The sequence below is a fragment of the Homo sapiens genome, chromosome 7 (genome assembly GCF_000001405.40).
Source record: "Homo sapiens chromosome 7, GRCh38.p14 Primary Assembly".
NCBI classification, from domain to species: domain Eukaryota; kingdom Metazoa; phylum Chordata; class Mammalia; order Primates; family Hominidae; genus Homo; species Homo sapiens.
The window spans coordinates 37,905,932-37,924,331 of NC_000007.14; the positions used below are offsets into that span (position 1 = coordinate 37,905,932).

General features: G+C 41.8%; 2 protein-coding genes across 4 annotated transcripts in view, besides 2 other annotated features; one reads left to right on the forward strand and one right to left on the reverse strand.

The window, feature by feature from the left end:
• SFRP4 (secreted frizzled related protein 4) lies at nucleotides 1-10,886 on the reverse strand. The gene is made up of 6 exons (NM_003014.4): nucleotides 10,162-10,886; nucleotides 8,442-8,522; nucleotides 8,282-8,347; nucleotides 6,188-6,386; nucleotides 3,686-3,749; nucleotides 1-1,733 (listed from the first exon to the last, which is right to left on the reverse strand). The coding sequence occupies exons 1-6, from the start codon at nucleotides 10,604-10,606 to the stop codon at nucleotides 1,548-1,550; spliced, it is 1,041 nt and encodes a 346-aa protein (NP_003005.2). The 5' UTR covers nucleotides 10,607-10,886; the 3' UTR covers nucleotides 1-1,547.
• Nucleotides 7,795-7,964: an enhancer, noted in NCBI's record as "experimental_98467 CRE fragment used in MPRA reporter constructs". NCBI's record gives its function as "activates a minimal promoter by MPRAs in K562 erythroleukemia cells, with activity observed for both the introgressed and non-introgressed 7:37953413 variant alleles {active_cell/tissue: K562}" and the evidence as "EXISTENCE:reporter gene assay evidence [ECO:0000049][PMID:34662402]".
• The window catches only part of EPDR1 (ependymin related 1), a 31,297-nt gene continuing 27,605 nt past the window's right edge, over nucleotides 14,709-18,400 (forward strand). For 2 of the 3 annotated variants that reach the window (NM_017549.5, NM_001242946.2), the window contains exon 1: nucleotides 14,709-15,277. In NM_017549.5, the coding sequence (NP_060019.2) occupies nucleotides 15,009-15,277 (269 nt within the window). In that variant the 5' untranslated portion in view covers nucleotides 14,709-15,008. Of the gene's footprint in view, nucleotides 15,278-15,387; nucleotides 15,521-18,400 lie in introns of those variants that run through there. The other variant, NM_001242948.2, reaches the window with a different exon arrangement.
• Nucleotides 14,954-15,403: a silencer, noted in NCBI's record as "silent region_18107". NCBI's record gives its function as "represses an Ori minimal core promoter by ATAC-STARR-seq in GM12878 lymphoblastoid cells {active_cell/tissue: GM12878}" and the evidence as "EXISTENCE:reporter gene assay evidence [ECO:0000049][PMID:35858748]".

Sequence of the window (18,400 nt, forward strand, 5' to 3'; positions counted from 1 at the left end):
TTTGACTATTGAGATGTTTATTCAGTATTGTCAGTGAAGAAACCACCTAAGTATCCAATAGCACAACAGTTTGTTGAGTAATGCATACTATGGAATATAACACAGCTGTTAGAAATGAGATGGTTTCTGCTTTCTTGACAGGAAAACTTATCTCAATAAAGGGCCAAGCAAAGGAGGCAGGTTATGAAACACATGTATAGCAGGTTCCTAGTTTTATTTGTTCAAATCATTTTATAAGTGCATAAGAAACACCTGGAGAATAATATGCCAAAATACTAATAGTGATTACCTCTGTGTAGTGGAGAGTAGGATTAGATAGGATTTTATTTCCTTTGGGCGTTGTGCATTTATTGAATGCCTTATAGAGAATACATGCTTACTGTGTTAGCAAAAGGCCAATAAAATTGTTTTTTAAAATAAATGCCTCCAATTGTCCACAATTATGAAATTTGTTGATAAAATGCTGCAAGATAAGTTCTTTTTTTCTGATTAAAGTATCCCAACTGTCAAGTAATTCTCATTTCAGAGGTGGAACCTCAACTTTCCTCTCTGTACATTTATATTTAACTCCTCTCACATGTATTTAGGCAAAGAAAATATTTAAATGAAGAAAACAAAATTTGGCACTCACATGAAGGCCATTTTTAAGCTTGTCAAATTATTCTCAGGGTGGATGTCCTGGGAAGTAAGATGAGTGACATACCTCTCTTGTGGGTATAAAATACTTGAGCATTAGCCAACTAATTAGTACCTAACTCCTAATGGTACAGACAAACTCACTGTTTCTGGTGCTGCTTAAGAGGGTGTTGACAAGAAGCATCATGATCATGAAATCAGGTAACCAAAAAACAGGAATCCAGACATTGTCTGCCTCTCCTTTTTATTTATTTTTCTTTATTATTATTTTTGTTTTTAGAGTTTCTAGCTAAAAACAGAGCTGAAGTCATTGTAAAAAAGACACATTATAGTTTTCCATATGCTACTTCTCTAGATTTTTCAAAAAATCCCCTTTCATCACAAAAATCCTTCTGCAGACCATAAACACATAAAGATCTTTTAGACATTCATTCCACTACTGTTCCTTCTTAGAAGCATTATATTTTCGATCACATTTTAAAACATCACTAACATTGCAACAACAGATATCAAAAGGTAATAAAACATACTGTAAAAAAATTACGTGTTTTGTTTGAAATATGGCATTTATTTTACAATGCACATATTAGGTCGAATTGTAACAAGCATTATTTTCCCTACTCTTCTAGAGTATGCACACAGGTTACTCTGAATGCAATGCAATAAGCCTTTTCCACCAGCTTTAACTCACCTTCTGTACCAAAGGGCAAACCTACCACTATGGCTTGTGATGGCTTACAAAGAAAAACTGAAGCATAGCCTTAAGAAAAATGCTGCAAGATGTGTCTATGAAGAGCACTGCAGTGAGTTGTTAGGGCAAGGGGCACATGGCCTTACATAGGCTGTCCCAGGCAATGCCCAGCCTCATCCTGTAAGGAAGTCGGAAGTCTCCGCTTTGGAAACTAGTTAGCTCACACTCTTTTCGGGTTTGTTCTCTTCTGGGCACTCCTAGTTTTAATGTTCTTCTTGGGACTGGCTGGTTTGGGAGCAGGAGGCTTTCCCTTTGGTTTGGGGGGATTACTACGACTGGTGCGCCCGGCTGTTTTCTTCTTGTCCTGAACTGTTCTCCGCTGTTCCTGCAGCCTCTCTTCCCACTGCTGAAAAGCAATTTGTAAACATGACTGTCAAATTATCTCACCCCTTTATGGTGCTCAGCTAATGTGAAAATTAAGGCAAGTTTTTCACTGTAATATATTAATGACGGTAACAATTGTAATAGCTACCCTATGTGAAGCACTTATCATGTACCAGGTGACTTGGAAAGTGCTCAGTGTGTGATGAAGTTTCCACATGCATTCATTTCATTGAAACAACAGTCCTTCCAAATAGGCACCACTGACAGGGGCAGGAAACAAGCCCAAAGAGGTTATTTGCAGTGCACAGAGCTGGTAAATGTCAGAGTCAGGATTCAAATTCACCCACTCTGACTCCAGAGCCTGAGGCCCTCACCCATGCACTTTTGACCACTAGCCCCATAATGCAACATTCCTACAGTGCAAAGCCTTCTAAAAAGGCTCTTATTTCATGGCTACTAGCATTAGTTTACCCCATGTCACTGGGAAGTCAGGAGTTTGTTCACTTCATTCTCCCACATCCAAAGGAAGACAGAGGCCCCTTCTACACCTAGTCATCCGCTAACGTGCTAGCTATCCAGAACCATTGGGAATTGAGTCATTCTGAAAAATCAAGTTTCTCTGATAGAAAAAAATTTATTCTTTAAATAGCTCAAGTAAGGAACAATAAAAAAGTGAGTCCACTTGAATTGACATTGCTTTATATTAACGCAGATGTGCCTGCTTGGCTAGAGTCTATTTCATTCAGCCAAAAGTTTGACCACAGTCATCAGCTGGGTATTATTCTAGGCACTAGGAATGCAAAGAAAAGAAAAACATTGTCCCCACTGTGCTATGACACACTTCTAGTCTATTCTAAAATAATAAACTCACTATGGTATGTTGCTATCATGTGGTGATATTTGCAAATTTCTACTGAAGTATATTGGAAAATATGCTGCCAAACTGAATGGTCCCCAGAGCTATGATTATTGAATGCTTTCCTCTTGGCAAGCTCAGGTTCTCATGGTCTGCTTGCCTTCATGTATTGATGCTTCTAATCTACTGTAGTCCTGGAAACCAGATAACCAATCTTGCTAGAATTTCCTGTCTAATAGAACTAAGCATGCTCCTGAGCAGCTCATGAGTTTTTAGCTCTGATTTAACACAATAGTGTTTGGTTCTCTTATTCAGAAACGCACTGACTAGCGGAGGCTGTGTTCTAACTACATTCTCCATAACTCAATTGTTAATATGTACTTTTCTCTTGCTTGGATCTCTTTATTGGTGCAAACTAAGAGAGCATAGGCAATAGCAATATGTTTTGTGAACCTATAAACACAAATTCTTCTGAATATATATGACATATTTTGCAAAGAAGGATGCTTTAAAAATTTAAAACCAATTACCTGGTGTCTTTAGATTGGTATAATTTCACATCTCTGGGAAAAAATTATTCTAACTCCTCTAATTGAATTACCAATATTTCTACGATGTTACCACAAAAATCATAGATTTGACTGCAAAACGATTACTTTTTGCATATAATTTTTGACAAAAGTCTTAAATTATTATAAATACAGGAAAAGATTCTGCTGTGTATAGTGATAGGGTAAGTTTTAGTACTAGATATTTCACCCCTCCAAATATATGTCAGTTTTAATCTCAATAGATATTAAGTCTGCTCAAGTATCTCATGGTTCACTAAAACAACTACATGTAATAAAGAAACAAAAGGCTCATTTAACTTGGAAATAACCAGTACCTTAGTATTGAACACAACTAAATCACCTTTGAAGTCGAATGATAGATTCCTGGTAAAAATTCTGAGTGAGAATAGCTACACTCTTAACGGCCTATTCAAAAGACAAATACTGTTGCTATTGCTGGCTCTTATGAGAGCTTGGAGATTAGAGAATGGGAAGAATTCCCCAACTCTAAAGAAATCTGTTATGTGCACTTACATCCATCTTCACAGCATTGTTCATGATACTTACTATGGATCTTTTACTAAGCTGATCTCTCCATTTTTCAACTAAGCAATTTTCAAGAAGCATCATCCTGAAAAAAAATTATCTTAGTAAACAGATTTTTATTACAAAAGTAAACAGCTAAAAATACAGAAATTGTAAAAAAATTATTCAATAATCCTTTACCCCATAATCCACACATCCACCATTTATATTTTATTGGTGTTTCCTTTCATTCCTCCTTGTAACAATATTAATTATATTTATTAGATCACATTGTGTATTGAGATGATCTGCTGATCTGCAAATTTCCTTTTGTCATTATATGATCTAAATTTTCTGATGTAATTAGAGTAATTTAAAAATATAATGTTAATAATATAATACTATGAATATGGATATCCATAATATATCTATCCATTTCTTTATTGCTGAATTCCCCTTTTGCTTAGCTATGATTACCAGTATTGCATTGAATAACCCTGTATACAGTAGTGTGCACTGGCTTATTATTTTCTTAGGACAGATTTTTAAAATAGAATAACTGAGTTAAAGGGTATGTATTTTTTAAAAAGATTTTCAATGCATAGTGCCAAGTTGTTTTCAAAATGGTTGCACTTTCATCCAATTCACTAACATTAAGAATTAGGTGAAAATGGAATCTTATTTTTATTTGGATTTAGAATTAAGGAGATAATTTTTTAAATGTTTACTTACTATCTGTATTCTATTTGTATTACTATTTGAACTTCTCTATATAAATTTCTGTATATATATTTCTATATCATGATCTCAATGTTTAAATATTAATTTTATGAACTCTTTAGTAAGATTACTATTTTTTCATATCTTTTCAAGTATGTTTCTCAATTTTTATTTGCCTTTCTATCATTATTTGTGATTTTTATATGTATAATATTATGCAGTCAGATATGTGTATTGATATTTTTCCTTGTAATTTCTTACATTACTTTTATGTTTACAAATTACTTTTCTTTTCAGATATAACATATTTAGTCACTAATTTTGTCCTTTTTTTAAAGTTCTTAGAATATTTATCTATTTAATCCATTTGAAAGTTATTGTAAAGCACAGTATAAAGTGAAAAGAATGTATTTTTTTACAAATAGGAATATTTTCAACATTTACCAAATAATACATTCATTTTCTATTGATGTGCCATATTTCCTTCATAATGAAAAGCTGTATTTTATGCATTAAAACCTGTTTCAAGAGTTTTTCCTCTGTTTCATTTATCTTTACGTCTACTATTGCATCACATGGTTTTAACAAGTGTAACTTTACACCAGGTTTGCGGGTCTCATAAGGCAGATTTCCTCTCTTATTTTCAGAATTGTCTTTACATACCCTTACCAATTTATTAGAATCATTTGTGAGGACATAAATCCCAATTATCCAAAACTATTTTTACTGGGATGGATTATAATCCATTCATCTCTCCAGATAGAATGTAATGACCAACAACCTGGTATCCCCAACTGGATCTCTAGCACTGCAGCAGATGCAAACACCTTGGTAGAGATGAGTCCAGAATCACTGATTGCTTCTTTAGGGAGACAAGATATACGCAGAATCTGGCTTTAAAACCAAGAACTCAAGGTGATATCCATGTTGTAAGGAGGGCACCCAAGTACTGATAGAATACAGAAAAGTGGAGTTAGTTCCCAAAGATGTTTTTGGTTTCTTTTCAGAGGAATAGTCTTAGGTTATATCTAGAAGAAACAGATGAGCATTAACAGCAGAGAATGGGAGGGATGCCTTGTTATGTAAAACTGAGTGATTTTGCTGGAGAAGTATACTGCATCAACTTATGGGGCCCAACATGGAGGCTGGGCTCAAGAGTTTGACTTTATATTACAAGTAATGTACCAATATCCAAAAAAAATAAGAAAGAAAGAGAGGCCAGGGAGACAAATACACACAGCTAGAATTTGTGTGTATGTGTATGAGTGTGTGTGAAGCATATATTTATTTGTTTATACATTGCCTTGTGATGATTTGAATTGAGAATCACATATCCGATTCAGAAATCACCTTAAAGTGTGTGTGTGTGCATGCGTGTTTGTTTGCAATACTCTATCAAATATTATGAAGTGTTTATATGGAAAATATGTGGAACTATAGTCTCAACTCCCTACTTACTTGATCTGTAAGCTATTAAAGTGGCCTTAAAAGTTCAGTATGTGCCACTCTAAAATTGTTTGAATGATTTGAAAAGAATTGTTCTTCCTTAAAATAATTGACTTGCTGTAAATTTTGAAGTCACTTAATGAATTTTGAAACTGATTTTTAAAGACTCTATTCAAATACTCATATTTTGATTTTTCCTTCATTCTATGAAGAATTAATTGATAGAATATATGCTATTCAAACAGAGGCATCTGTTAAACTAATTTTTTTAAAAAGACTTTGGCATATTTTTGTTATATTTTTAAACCATGACTGCTAACTGAGATTGAGGTCTTCCTAACAGTGTGCATACAGTTCCTTCTGCCTCTTTGTGCCTACCTTGAGCGCCACTCGTAACACATGATGAGAACATCTTGATGGGGCAGGATGTGTGGACACTGGCAAGAAGAATTTGTAATGAGCGGGACTTGAGTTCGAGGGATGGGTGATGAGGACTTGAAGATCTCTTTTACATCCACCACCGTTGTGACCTCATTGCAGCCACTCCTCTGCACAGCTTTTATTTTGGCATGAATAACTGCAATTTAAAAATAGATAAAAGTGTTGTTGAAGGTTTTGGGGAAAAACTAGGGATGGTGTATTCATGCCAACTTCTGAGCCTCTCTTAAAGAATCACTCCTGTAATTATGGTTATGTCCAAGTGGCCTGAGTGCAGGCAAACAGCCCACACAGTCATATGCTAAATGGATGGTGTCCTATATTGTCAACATTGTCTTAAATGTTCCGGGGCATACTGCAAGATAGGAAAGCAAGCTGAAAAGCAGGTTTTAGTCTTTCTCTGCCTTTAGGTCAGTAAAAAATTCACAGAAACATATATTTGTATTCTTCCTTGTGGTGATTTGAAGTGGGGATCATATATATTCAGATCAGAAGTCATCTTAAGGTTTGCATTTCTTCAATCACTCATCTGATGCTTGAGCTTCTTCTGTTTTACAGAGATAGTCATTAGTCATAACATTTTTGAACTGGAGGGAGTCTCTGAGGACTACTGTTCTCAATCTTTTAACTTCACAGACTGACAAAGTAGACCCATGGTGAGCAGAGATAGAACTGTTATTACAGATGGCTGTTAATGTCACTGTCTCTGACCAAGTTTTAAATGCTGGTTTCTGTGGTCTCTTGCTATTACTGCCTCCCGTAGAGTTGTAATCAGCCTAATATGGCTCTGTCTTGGATTCCATTTCAGGAAGCCAGTTTATGAAGACACCAAAGGACTTGAATACAAAATGGTTTCTTCATCAAGGTCGTTCAAAGGCCATAACACCCCAGAGAATGACATGACAGTGAAACTCAGATTAATATCTCAGGCTGGATCTTGGCAGAGGAGGGACTAAGTAAATCAGATGAGGATGGTAGCTACATAGAGCAGGCTTTAAGAAAAAAAGCTACAGGAAAAGATAAACTACTTTTTGTTGTTGCTGAATTACCCCCATTGGCTAAATATGATTCTTAAATCTGATAGTTTTGTAACAGCTTATTTTTTTTCAGATTTCTACATTTCTGTGATCCTCCTACTTTCATGTCTGATATGTATCCTAAAGTTTCTTACTGATATAAAATTTCAATCTGCAAGATGAAAACTAAGTCAGCAAACAAAATAAGCATTTTCCCTAAAACCACTTTATGTTATTTCAGCAGAAATGATTTAAGACATGCAATGAAATATAAAGTAGGCAGCCCAAACAGACATTTTTAAAATGTCTGCCTTTTACATTTCTTTTTGAATTGAAAAAGAACATATGTTAATTAAATTTACTTTCAGATGACAATTGTGAAATTAAAATTACTTAAAACATTTCAAATTTCATGACTGACTTATTCATGGAAGAAAATGCTGAATGGTTCTTTCAAGTAAGAGAGAGGAGGGCATTTAAACTAGTTCGATAGTGTAACCATAGGATTTTGTGATTAACATTTTTTTCACAATTTATTTAAGATGTTAAATATTTGTAGCTAGTCACAAGTAAAAGGATATGCAGGCAGATCTTAATTGTCTGGGCCTATGGGCCTTAATTCTCTGACTCTCAGATAATCAGATCCATGGATCATTCTCTCATTCTTCCTGCAGCAGTAAAACCTCAGGAAGAGAACAGGTGGGGTGTGCCATCAGGGCTGATAAGCACTTCTCACCAAGACAAGGAGGATCAAGATGTCAAATTTTCAATCTGATGCATGTAATTTTTATCACCTGGGTCATTTCCTTTGTTTGCACTTGATTCATCCAGAAAAGCAAGATATTTTGCAGTTGTTATTGTGCCATATATTAATAGAATTCACATGATCAACTGGAAAAATAGTCAACCTTTTGTTTTCTTTACTTTGTGACTAGCTTTAGTGAGAGCGACCTTATTGAGATTCCAGCTTTGTAATGAACCAAGTCTCAAAAGTAAATGGCTTTAACAGACGACTTACCATAGCTGTAGTTTTTGCTGAGATACGTTGCCAAAGTTGGCTTCACCTTTTTACACTTGCACCGATCTAAAAAAGGCAGAAGAGGCAGAAAGTTGGAAAAAGAACAGAAATCACTCTGGAGAGGAGAAGTAGAGGGAACGTCCATGAAGAAAGAACTCACCGGGGCTTAGGCGTTTACAGTCAACATCAAGAGGCCTTTCCTGTACCATCATGTCTGGTGTGATGTCTATCCACTTAACATCTGAAACACAAACAGGGCCACATGGGCGTGGTTGGTGATTTGGTCTGTTCACCCAGCTGGTATAAAGAGCCCTCTGAAGATATAAACTAAAACAGTATCTCAAAATAATAGTATTTAATGGTAAAAATGGGCCAGGCGAAGTGGCTCACACCTGTAATCCCAGCAGTTTGGGAAGCCAAGGAGGGCAGATCACCTGAGGTCAGGAGTTTGAGACCAGTCTGGCCAATATGGTGAAACCCCATCTCTACTAAAAATACAAAAATTAGCCAGGCATGGTGGTGGATGCCTGTAATCCCAGCTACTCTAGAGGCTGAGGCAGGAGAATCGCTTGAACCCGGGAGGCGAAGGTTGCCGTGAGCTGAGATTGTGCCATTGCACTCCAGCCTGGGCAACAGAGTGAGGCTCCATCTCAAAAAAAGAAAACAAGACAAAAAATATTTATATAAGTAAAAACGGCATGTGATTGTTGACTTCTCCTTTCATAATGATATCCAGGGCTTAGGAAAGAAATCCTCTGGGGGAATATTTGCCTATCCAAGCACAAATCGATGTGAATGTATATCCATTTAACCTCACTGGTATATACAACCAAACTGGATAAATCACATCACTCTCTCCCAAAGTCATATTTAAATGTTGATTTTCCAAGTTAACAGTTTATGTTAATCAAAATAACCAAAATATTTCCAAATCCCTACCTCATATCTTGCAGTGCAGAAACAGTTCACAGGTATATAACCAAAACCAAGCATAACCCTCTATTATTTATATAATTTAAACAATAAATATGTTTTCTTTCCTAAAACTCTAAATTAGAGAGGAGTTTCCATTTACCCTGTTCACTTAACCACTCCTCCTTCATGTTTAGAGCAATGCTCTGGGGTATAACTTCAGAGATTCCAGCACAGCAATATCATAGTCTGTTTAAATGTGGGGTAACCTGGGCCAGATAAAGCCTGGATAAAAGAATGCAAAAATATTCCTAGGTTTCATTTCAAGAAGTGAATTTAAACCTCTCCTTCTTTTTAGAAAAGCAGTCAAATGACCAAAGAAAAAAGAAGGAAGTGGAAGCAGAGATGGGGTTAACTAAAATGCCACTGTAGTTGGCTCCGGGCCAATGACTATGAAACAGACCTCACAATTTTCCAGGGAAACTGCAATTACAAATCTCACTCCTGGTGGGAAGCAATGACCGTTACTGCTTTTTCAGAAAAAAAAAAACTTTTTAAGAAGTAGCGCTAAATGGAACGAGTATTGGCACCTGCTTGGTGAGATTATTTTGGGCATTAAATGAGTCAATAACGTGTAATGTGTTTAACACTTGCTCAGACACCTAGCAACACCTGTTTACTGCTATTATCATTTCTGTTATTACTATAAATGCAAACATCATCGAAGGCTCCCTTTGTAAGCAAAATCTTTTTTTTTTTCTTTATGGGGTGCAGTGCTCTCCGCTAGCTCCTAAAATTCCTATGGGAGAAACCAGACTTTTTCTGAAGAAAATGTTTCCCCCATTCTTTCCCACCTCCTACAAGCCTCAGACGCCCCTGGCAGCCTTAGGTGTGGCCGCCCAGTTCTCGATTGGCAGCCACAGCCCCGGGCGCCTCCTCGCCTCCCTCCATCCTTCCTACGGCCTCACCCTCCGGGAGGTCCGTGACGATGGCTTCAGGCGAGATGCACACGCCACGGTCATAGACAGGCAGCTCGTCGCAGGCCAGGCTTTCGGGCCAGCTGTGGTTGTACATCTTCATGAGGGGCTCGCAGTCGTCGCGCGCGCGTTGGCACACCGACTTGCACGGCTTGATAGGGTCGTGCAGGAACTCCAGGGTGCAAATGGGCGCGTACATGGCACAGAGGAAGAAGCGCAGCACGGCGCTGCAGTTCACGTCCACCAGCTCCTCGTACTGCTCGATGGCCAGGATGGCGTTCTCCTGCGTGCTGTGGTGCAGGTGGTTGGGCATCCGCGTGATGTTCCAGGGCATGTGCCGGCACATAGGGATGCGCACCGCCTCGCAGGGCGCGCCGCGCACGCCCAGCGCCAGGTGCAGCCACAGGCACAGCGCCACTAGGATGGAGAGGAACATGGCACTGCCCTCTCGCGCTGCGACCCCGGCAGACAGAAAGCGCCCTTCTCTTCCTGCCACCCTCATCTTTCGCTGTCCCTTCGCCGAGGAAGAAATCCTCTGGGGCGCAGGAGAGTTTCTTCCCCCAAACTCCAGTCGGCAGCAAAGCGGGGCCGCGGGGTCCGGCCGCGGAGCTCCGCCGTCTGGCACACAGGGCACGAGCAGCGCCAGCTCTCAGCCTTCGGGGCGCGAACCCGCCCGGGCAGCTCCAGTCCCGGACTCCGCAGCTCGGAGCGCAGCCAGCCACGGCCATTGCGGGACCCTATTTATCCCGACACCTCCCCTGACGTGGGCTCGGAACGCTCCCTTGGCAGCTGCAGCCGCGGCGCGGGCTCCCCCTCGGCCGCCCCACCCCCAGGCCCGTCGGTGCAGAAGCGGTGACATCACCCCCTCTGGGCCGCAGCCCAGGGCTGGAAGCCTGCTTTCCCCCTAAAGTCCCTCCTTTTTAGTCTGGCCAGTCTTTTTTCTTCGGACCAAGAAAAAGAACCTCTGGCAGTTGTTTTCGACACCGGATACAAGAGGGTGCGGGAGAGAATTTCAAGAGAGAGAAAGACACTCTTTGGCTGAAAACTGAACTTTGCTCCCTCTGCCTTAGAGTTTTTCCAAGTATAGAGTTGGGGGAAAATAGGAGCTTCTGCTGCCCTCTAATTCTGAAATATATTTGCTTTCTCCGGTAGGGGGCATGAGGAGCGCTGAGGACAGTTGGGACAATGTCCTGCAAGGCAGGCGAGAGTGCAGTGAATGTCAGAACAGGAGGGTCACGTTGTATAAATCACTCCCACTCCGCCCTTAGTTGTGTGGAGTGTGGTTTGTTGTTGTTGTTGCTAGTAGACAGTTTGGGCCGAAATTTTTCCAGTATAACACTTGGTTTGTTTCTGCTCCAGGAAGTTAACAGAACTGGGGGAAGGTGTGCTAGCATCTTCCAGCTTCAGAAATGTCTTCTAACATTTCCTCTTCCTTCTAACTCCCTGTTCCCCTCTGCAGCATTAGTGGAACCCAGGAGAAAACATTGGGCACCACAATCTGAAAGGTCTCCCCTGCTCTGATCCTTCATGCCAAAGGATTTCCACCTCAGCAGCCTAAAATCTTGATTTTTGATGTGCTCAGAGACTGTTGCTTGAGTTGAGTAAGAAGCTGTGTACTATGGGATGCAAGTATGTATGTTTTGCTTTCTCTTTTATCTTACTTGCATTAGGAAAAGGTAGTCCAATTGCTGGCTCAGCTATCTACAGAAAAGGGAGGATTTATTTATATGAGATTGATGTATATCAATCTTCAGGTGGTAAGACTTCTGGTATATGCTATTTATTAGGGCATCAGCAATATGGAAACATGTTCTCTGAATGTTAATCTTTAAAAACATAGTTTAACTTGAATTTAAGGCACATGGTTTTTCTCTCCAAAGCTTAAACCTACACAATTAGTTTAGTTTTGACTGAGGATTAAAACTAAAGACTAAGGATTAAAACAGCTGAGGAAACAACAAGCACAAGTGACATCTATTGGGAATTTACAATGGTCAAGGTATGAAGCTAAGAACTTTAAATGCATTATCTTATTTTTTAGGGAACATGAATTAAACATAGTAAGTGAAAAGGATAAATGAGACAAATACATTTCAGGATTCATCCAAAGAGTCTGGTTCTTATTTAGGGGAAGCCCAGGGTGTTCTTACACTGCCAAGCCACTCTAGAAAGGTAATCTAGTTCCTATAGAACCAGTCTCCACCTCCAAAGATGCCAAGCCAGGCTAGTAAAATATCACATGAGGAGGAAAGCCCAGATGACATCTCAAGCCATTTCTAGCAGTAAACTCCAATGAGTCTAAACCCTTCACTGGGTGAAAAAGATTTTCAGCTGGAGTTCCTACCTGGGGAGCAAGAGAAAGAGCTGAACTACCCTACACTTTTCCTATGAATCTGAGCAGGGCAAACTCGGAGAGGGCTCAAATTTCTGCAGCCAGTTTGAACCTGCTGCATCTGTTTAACTATGTAAGTACCAAGTCACAAAGTCTTATGGGCTTCCCTGATGTTCTCTGAGGCATGCCCTTTAAGAAAAGGTAAGAGGAAATGAAGAGCCCTTCTTCCTAAAGCTTTGTGCCTGCCCCATTCGGCCCATTGGTAGTGTCTCTGGTGGTTCGACAGACAGGGGGCAGCAGAGAAGGATGCATCAGGAAAACCTGTCAACTGTCCCTCCTCTTCGGGACTTCCAGGGAGGCTGTGATTCTAGAACACCCTACTTCAGCATTCAGTCCATTCTTTCCATGCCTTACATTTATTTAACAAGGCTCGGGAAGTTGCCTCATTCAGTGGCTTCTCTCTGGTGACTCCTTTTGGTCTCCTCAAGTGCCTGTTCTTTGCCCATCCTTTAAATGTCTGGAGCTCTCTGGGGCTCCATCCTAATCCTTCTTCTCACACTCAACACTCCCCTGAACTCCAGGTTTTCTCACCCCCAACACTTAGGACATTTGGGGCCAGATAATTTTCTCTTCATTTGGGAGAGGGGAGGTGGCTGTACTGCACATTGTAGGAAGTTTAGTAGCATCCTTGGCCTCTACCCACAAAATGTCAGCGGTAGCCTCCTCCCCATCTACATTGTGATCATCAAAAATGTCTCCAGATATTGCCAAATGTTTCTTTGCTGGGGAGGGGGATGTGAAATTTCCCCAGGAACCACTGTTCTACTCTTCGGCTTCATTTACCACCTATGTACCTATGGCTTCCTAATCCAAAAGCTCTGCTGGTTTCCAGAAGTATTTATCCAGCTGTCCCTTGGATATTTCCACCTTAATACTCCACAGTCAGCTCAAGATCAACCAATCCTAAAATGAATTGATCATCTCTCCTCACTCAGGACTGGATTCCCAGTGGCCCAAACCAGAAACCTCTCTCTCTGAGTTGAAATGCTTCTCTACAGCTCCCACCTGTCTTCCACCCTTTCCATGACCACTCCCGCTGCCTTAGCTGAGTCAGGATCATCTCTTTCCAGGATGATAACAGTAGCTTCCTCCTCTCCCTGCCTTCCCTCTGGCCCTACCCTTTCTGTTGTCTAAGTGGGCTTTCTAAAGCATATGCCTGATGATGCTCCTCCCTAGCTTTACATTGATTGATAGTTCCCACAGTCCTCAATATCAATGACAAATTCCTTAAAATGAGTGCTATGGCTTCAGAGTACTCCTCTACCTTGTCCTTGAACCCCAGCATTATTCTTTTCTTGTCCTTATGCCCTTCATTCAGGAATGTTATCTCCCACTTTCACCTGGCTCAATCTTAATCATCCTTGAAATGCAGTTCAAATGGAAAGACGCTATACATTTTTTTAGTTCCTTTCTTTTTTCTTGATTTCATACTTTATCACTATATTTTTAGAGACAGGGTCTCGCCATGTCACCCAGGCTGGATGGAGTGCAGTGGCATGATCATAGCTCACTGCAACCTCTAACTCCTGGGCTCAAGCGATCCTCCCACTTCAGCCTCAGGAGTAGCTGGGACTACAGGTGTGTGAGCCTCGCTCATTCCATATTATAGATCCTAACATTACATAACTATAAACCCAATTAACCTTATTCTTGAAGAAGCGAAACCCCCCAGACACCCAAACCACTCGGCTGGTGGTATTGCCAGGCGATGGGAGGAGCAGTCTCACTGCAATGTGACCTTGAGGCTATGTCCATGAGTCCTAGGCCCAATGCAAGGGGCTGTCTACTAGTCTCCTAGACTCTTCACTGGGAATGGGAGCTGAGGAGCGGCCATGATGAATAGCTAGTATCATTTCTTCAGGAAAAGACTCGTCTTTCCACTTTTAATTTGGAGGAAGAAGTTTGCAATTTTGTCGAGGGGCAATGTAGGCGGGGCAAACGTTTGCACAGCAAACGCAGCAGCTCTGCTTTTCCTATCTTGACCTTGAACTTGCCCCTCCCTGTGTGATTACCTGTTGAACACTGAAGTTAGTGGAGAAACACACTTCTCAGCACAGTCTCCCCCCATCCCCCCTCTTAAAACACGATGCCTCCCAGGATGCTAGTGGCACCACTGCCACTGCATTTCCTGTTGGCAGCAGTGAGCAGTGAAAACCGAAGCGGCAGAAGGCAGTGGCAGCAGGCAGTGGCAGCAGGCAGTGGCCCAGGCAGAAATAGCTCCCGCGCGATTCACTGGAGCCTTCCCCGGGCCCTGGTCCCGGCTACCGGGACTCGCGCGTCCGGATCTCAAAAGCGGCAGAGGCCACCGAAGGGACAGGAAGCACTTTGGTCCAGACCACACTCCCGGCACAGTGCGGAAAGAGCCGGCGGGAGCCACTCTGATCCCGGACGCCTCAGCGCCCCCTTGGGCTTGGGCTTGCCCTCGGGCCGGGGAAGGCTGACCGCGATGCCAGGACGCGCTCCCCTCCGCACCGTCCCGGGCGCCCTGGGTGCCTGGCTGCTGGGCGGCCTCTGGGCCTGGACCCTGTGCGGCCTGTGCAGCCTGGGGGCGGTGGGAGCCCCGCGCCCGTGCCAGGCGCCGCAGCAGTGGGAGGGGCGCCAGGTTATGTACCAGCAAAGTAGCGGGCGCAACAGCCGCGCCCTGCTCTCCTACGACGGGCTCAACCAGCGCGTGCGGGTGCTGGACGAGAGGAAGGCGCTGATCCCCTGCAAGAGGTACAGGTCATCGGCCCGCGGGGCGGGAGTAGGGAGCCGCGCGGGCATGGGGAGGGCGAGGTCGCAGAGGCCTGCGCCCTGTAACTCTTTCCGGCCCCTTGCAGCTCCTCCCTTCTCCCAGAGAGATCTTTCGCGAGGAGGGTCTCTTGGGGATAGCATGGTCCGGGACTGGGAGGGGCGCTGCGCCCACCGAGGGCGGCCTGCTGGCGGGGGACTCAGTAACACCCAGCGAGGCGGTGGCAGGTAAAGAAGGGACCCATCCAGGGCGGGATCAAGCTGCAGAGTGCCCCATGCCCAGGTTCGCCCCTGTTCTCACGCTGCTGAGTCAGGCTCTGGGCTCATGGAGCCCCCTGCAGTCTAGGGCGTGTCTTCTGCGCTATCTCATTTCTTTCTAGAGACATCTGCTAGAGAGGCACGCAGAATATGTATTTTCTAAGAAATACTTTTTGTATTTTAAAAGAATATGGCAAGATTACAAACGGTATGGGAAAGTGATAAAAAGAAAATTTCACCCACAAACTTAGCAAATTGTTACAGCATTAAAATTTTGGTCTACTCCTTTTAAGTTTTTTGTTTATTTTAAAGCAAATTTTACATACTATGATCAAAAGCCATACGTTATCTGAATCTTTTTTTAACTTAACATTGTCCCTTATATGTTCTTATTTGCCATTTTATTAGCTTGCCTCCTATTTTTAATGGCTGCACAGTATCGCTTACAGGGGCAAAGCTGTAAGTTTCTTTTAAGTATTGGTCTGACCATTCACCTTTTCACATCTGTTGTGACAAAGGAAACCCTCTTTTTGAGATGTCATCTCGCTTGTGGCCCCTTTAAGACCTGATTTCTAATTTGGGATCACCACCTGTCTCCCTTCCAGAGCCCTGCCGTTCCCCCTAAGTGTGTTCCTCTCACTGGCCTCTCTTTATGGCATTTGCATCATTAGGAGTTGCAAAGTGAATTTCCATGGTTTGAAACGCCAATGGACTGTAAGATCTATAGCAAAAGGGCACCATTAGTTTATAGAACAAAACCAAACTTGATAATATCATTTATTCTAAAAGCATTTGTTCAAGTATTAGGCGACTTGAAGAAAGTACGGAAAGGGCAGACCCTTTCAAACAATATCAAGGGTGCAAAATAATGCATTATGAAATGCAGCACAGAGCAGCACAGTCATCATGGTGGACTGGGAATTGATTCGAAGTCTTTCAAGAACATGAATGTTTTCAGTAGGGTCTTGAAGGGCACAGTAATAATAATAACAACTAACAGTTGCATACTTATTATATATGAGGCATGACACTGAGGACTTTACATCTATTATATAATTTAGTTTAAATCTCACAATAACTTGACAGTATAGGTTTTATGATCTCCATTTTACAGACAATAACTCTGAGGTCTAGGGAGATTAAGCAACTTTCTTAAGATCACACAGCTAATGCTTGAGGAAGCTAGGGGGGGGTTCTGACGCCTATGGTATACCAGGTTCACATTCATTCATTTATTTAACAAGCATTTGTTCATGTTAGGCACTGTGTATAAACAGAATGGCTCCTGGCTTTCAGGGAGGTCAGAGTCTGGAGGTGAAGTCACATAAATAAAAAAAATTTCCATACAGTGGGATGAGGGGTGAGAGCTGGGGTTGTGATGAGAAGAACTCAGTTGGGCACCTAACCCAGGCTTCCTGGAGGAGCTGAAATGAGAGTGAGTTCCAAAACACCTGTACAGGTTTTCCAGGGAGATGTGGAGAGACTGCTGGTCCAGGGGGATGCAGGTGTATCCATGCCTGGTATGTGTGTGCCATCCCGGAGTTTTTAGAGCTGAGTAAATTCCAAAAACCACAGACCACTCACTATTAGGGCTGAAGCCCAGGACATGGCGAAGGGTCATACTGAGGAGTTTTAAACAGTGGAATTTGTGATTAGATTATATAAAGATCCCTGGATGTGTCCTTAAGAATGCATTCCCAAGATGTGGACACAAAATGGAGCCATGTGGAGCAAAAGTGGAAGTGAGAACACAATCTTGGAGATTGTCGTAGTGGTCCAGGTGAGAGATGGGTAGTAGCGATGGAAATGGTGAACAGGGGGCAAGTGAATGCATTAGGGAAGTATTGAAGAGGTTCAACTGAGGAAAATGTACATGATTGGACGGGTTGTGGCAGGCGTGGTGAGGGAGAGGAAAACGTTAAAGAGGCCCCCATTTTTGGCTTGTGAAGCTAATGGTACTGATGGCATAGGGTAGATGGTGATGCTGTTCCTTGCAACAGGGCTTGACTTTGTGCACTTCTAATTAAGGGTGCATTGGTATCCTATGTAATTTTATGTGAAGACTTGTACAGTAGTGGCGCATTGATGAATAGTCATATTGAAGATGGACTGGGATGGCCGAGAGCACACTGCTGAAGCAGAGGAGTGTGTCAAAGAGAAGGATAAGGGTTCATCTCTCCAAAGGTAGTATTTTTTTTTTTACAATTAAAAAAATTAGACTTTAGAGTCAGACAAATCTGGATCTGAATCCAGACTCTGAATATGGGTCTTTGGGTAAGTTAATAAAGCTTTCTGAGTCTCAGTATCCTCATTTACAAAATGTGAATACTTATAATGCCTAATTTATTGGATTATTATGGGAATTAAATGAGCTCAAGTGTATAAAACATACAGTACAATGTCTGATAGTACGCACAAGATGCTCTGTTCATGGCCAAGGTTGGTCCCATCGCTACCACTATCATCATTATCCTGGTAAAGTTACCATAGCCCAGAGACTTGCTGCCAGCCCTTTGGGCTCAGAAACTTGATACAGCAGCACACACAGACCCTTCCTTTGGGAACAACCTTCGAGTAAGGAAACTCAAATGCTAAACCTGTCTACTTCAATGAGTCTTATTGCTGGCATGAGGACCAGCATTCTCAAATCCACCAGACTAGGTCATTCTCTCCCTGTAGTCAGAACTATGTGGGGAGCCAAATTATCATCAGGCAGTTGTGAGCAAAGAGTTGGAGCAAATTCATTGAGCAAACATCTAATGATTGCCTGCCCTAGGTTAGGCTGTATGCTCAATGTGGAGTTTTCCATCATGAATAAGACAGGCCAGCCTGGGGTAAGGTTTAATGGTA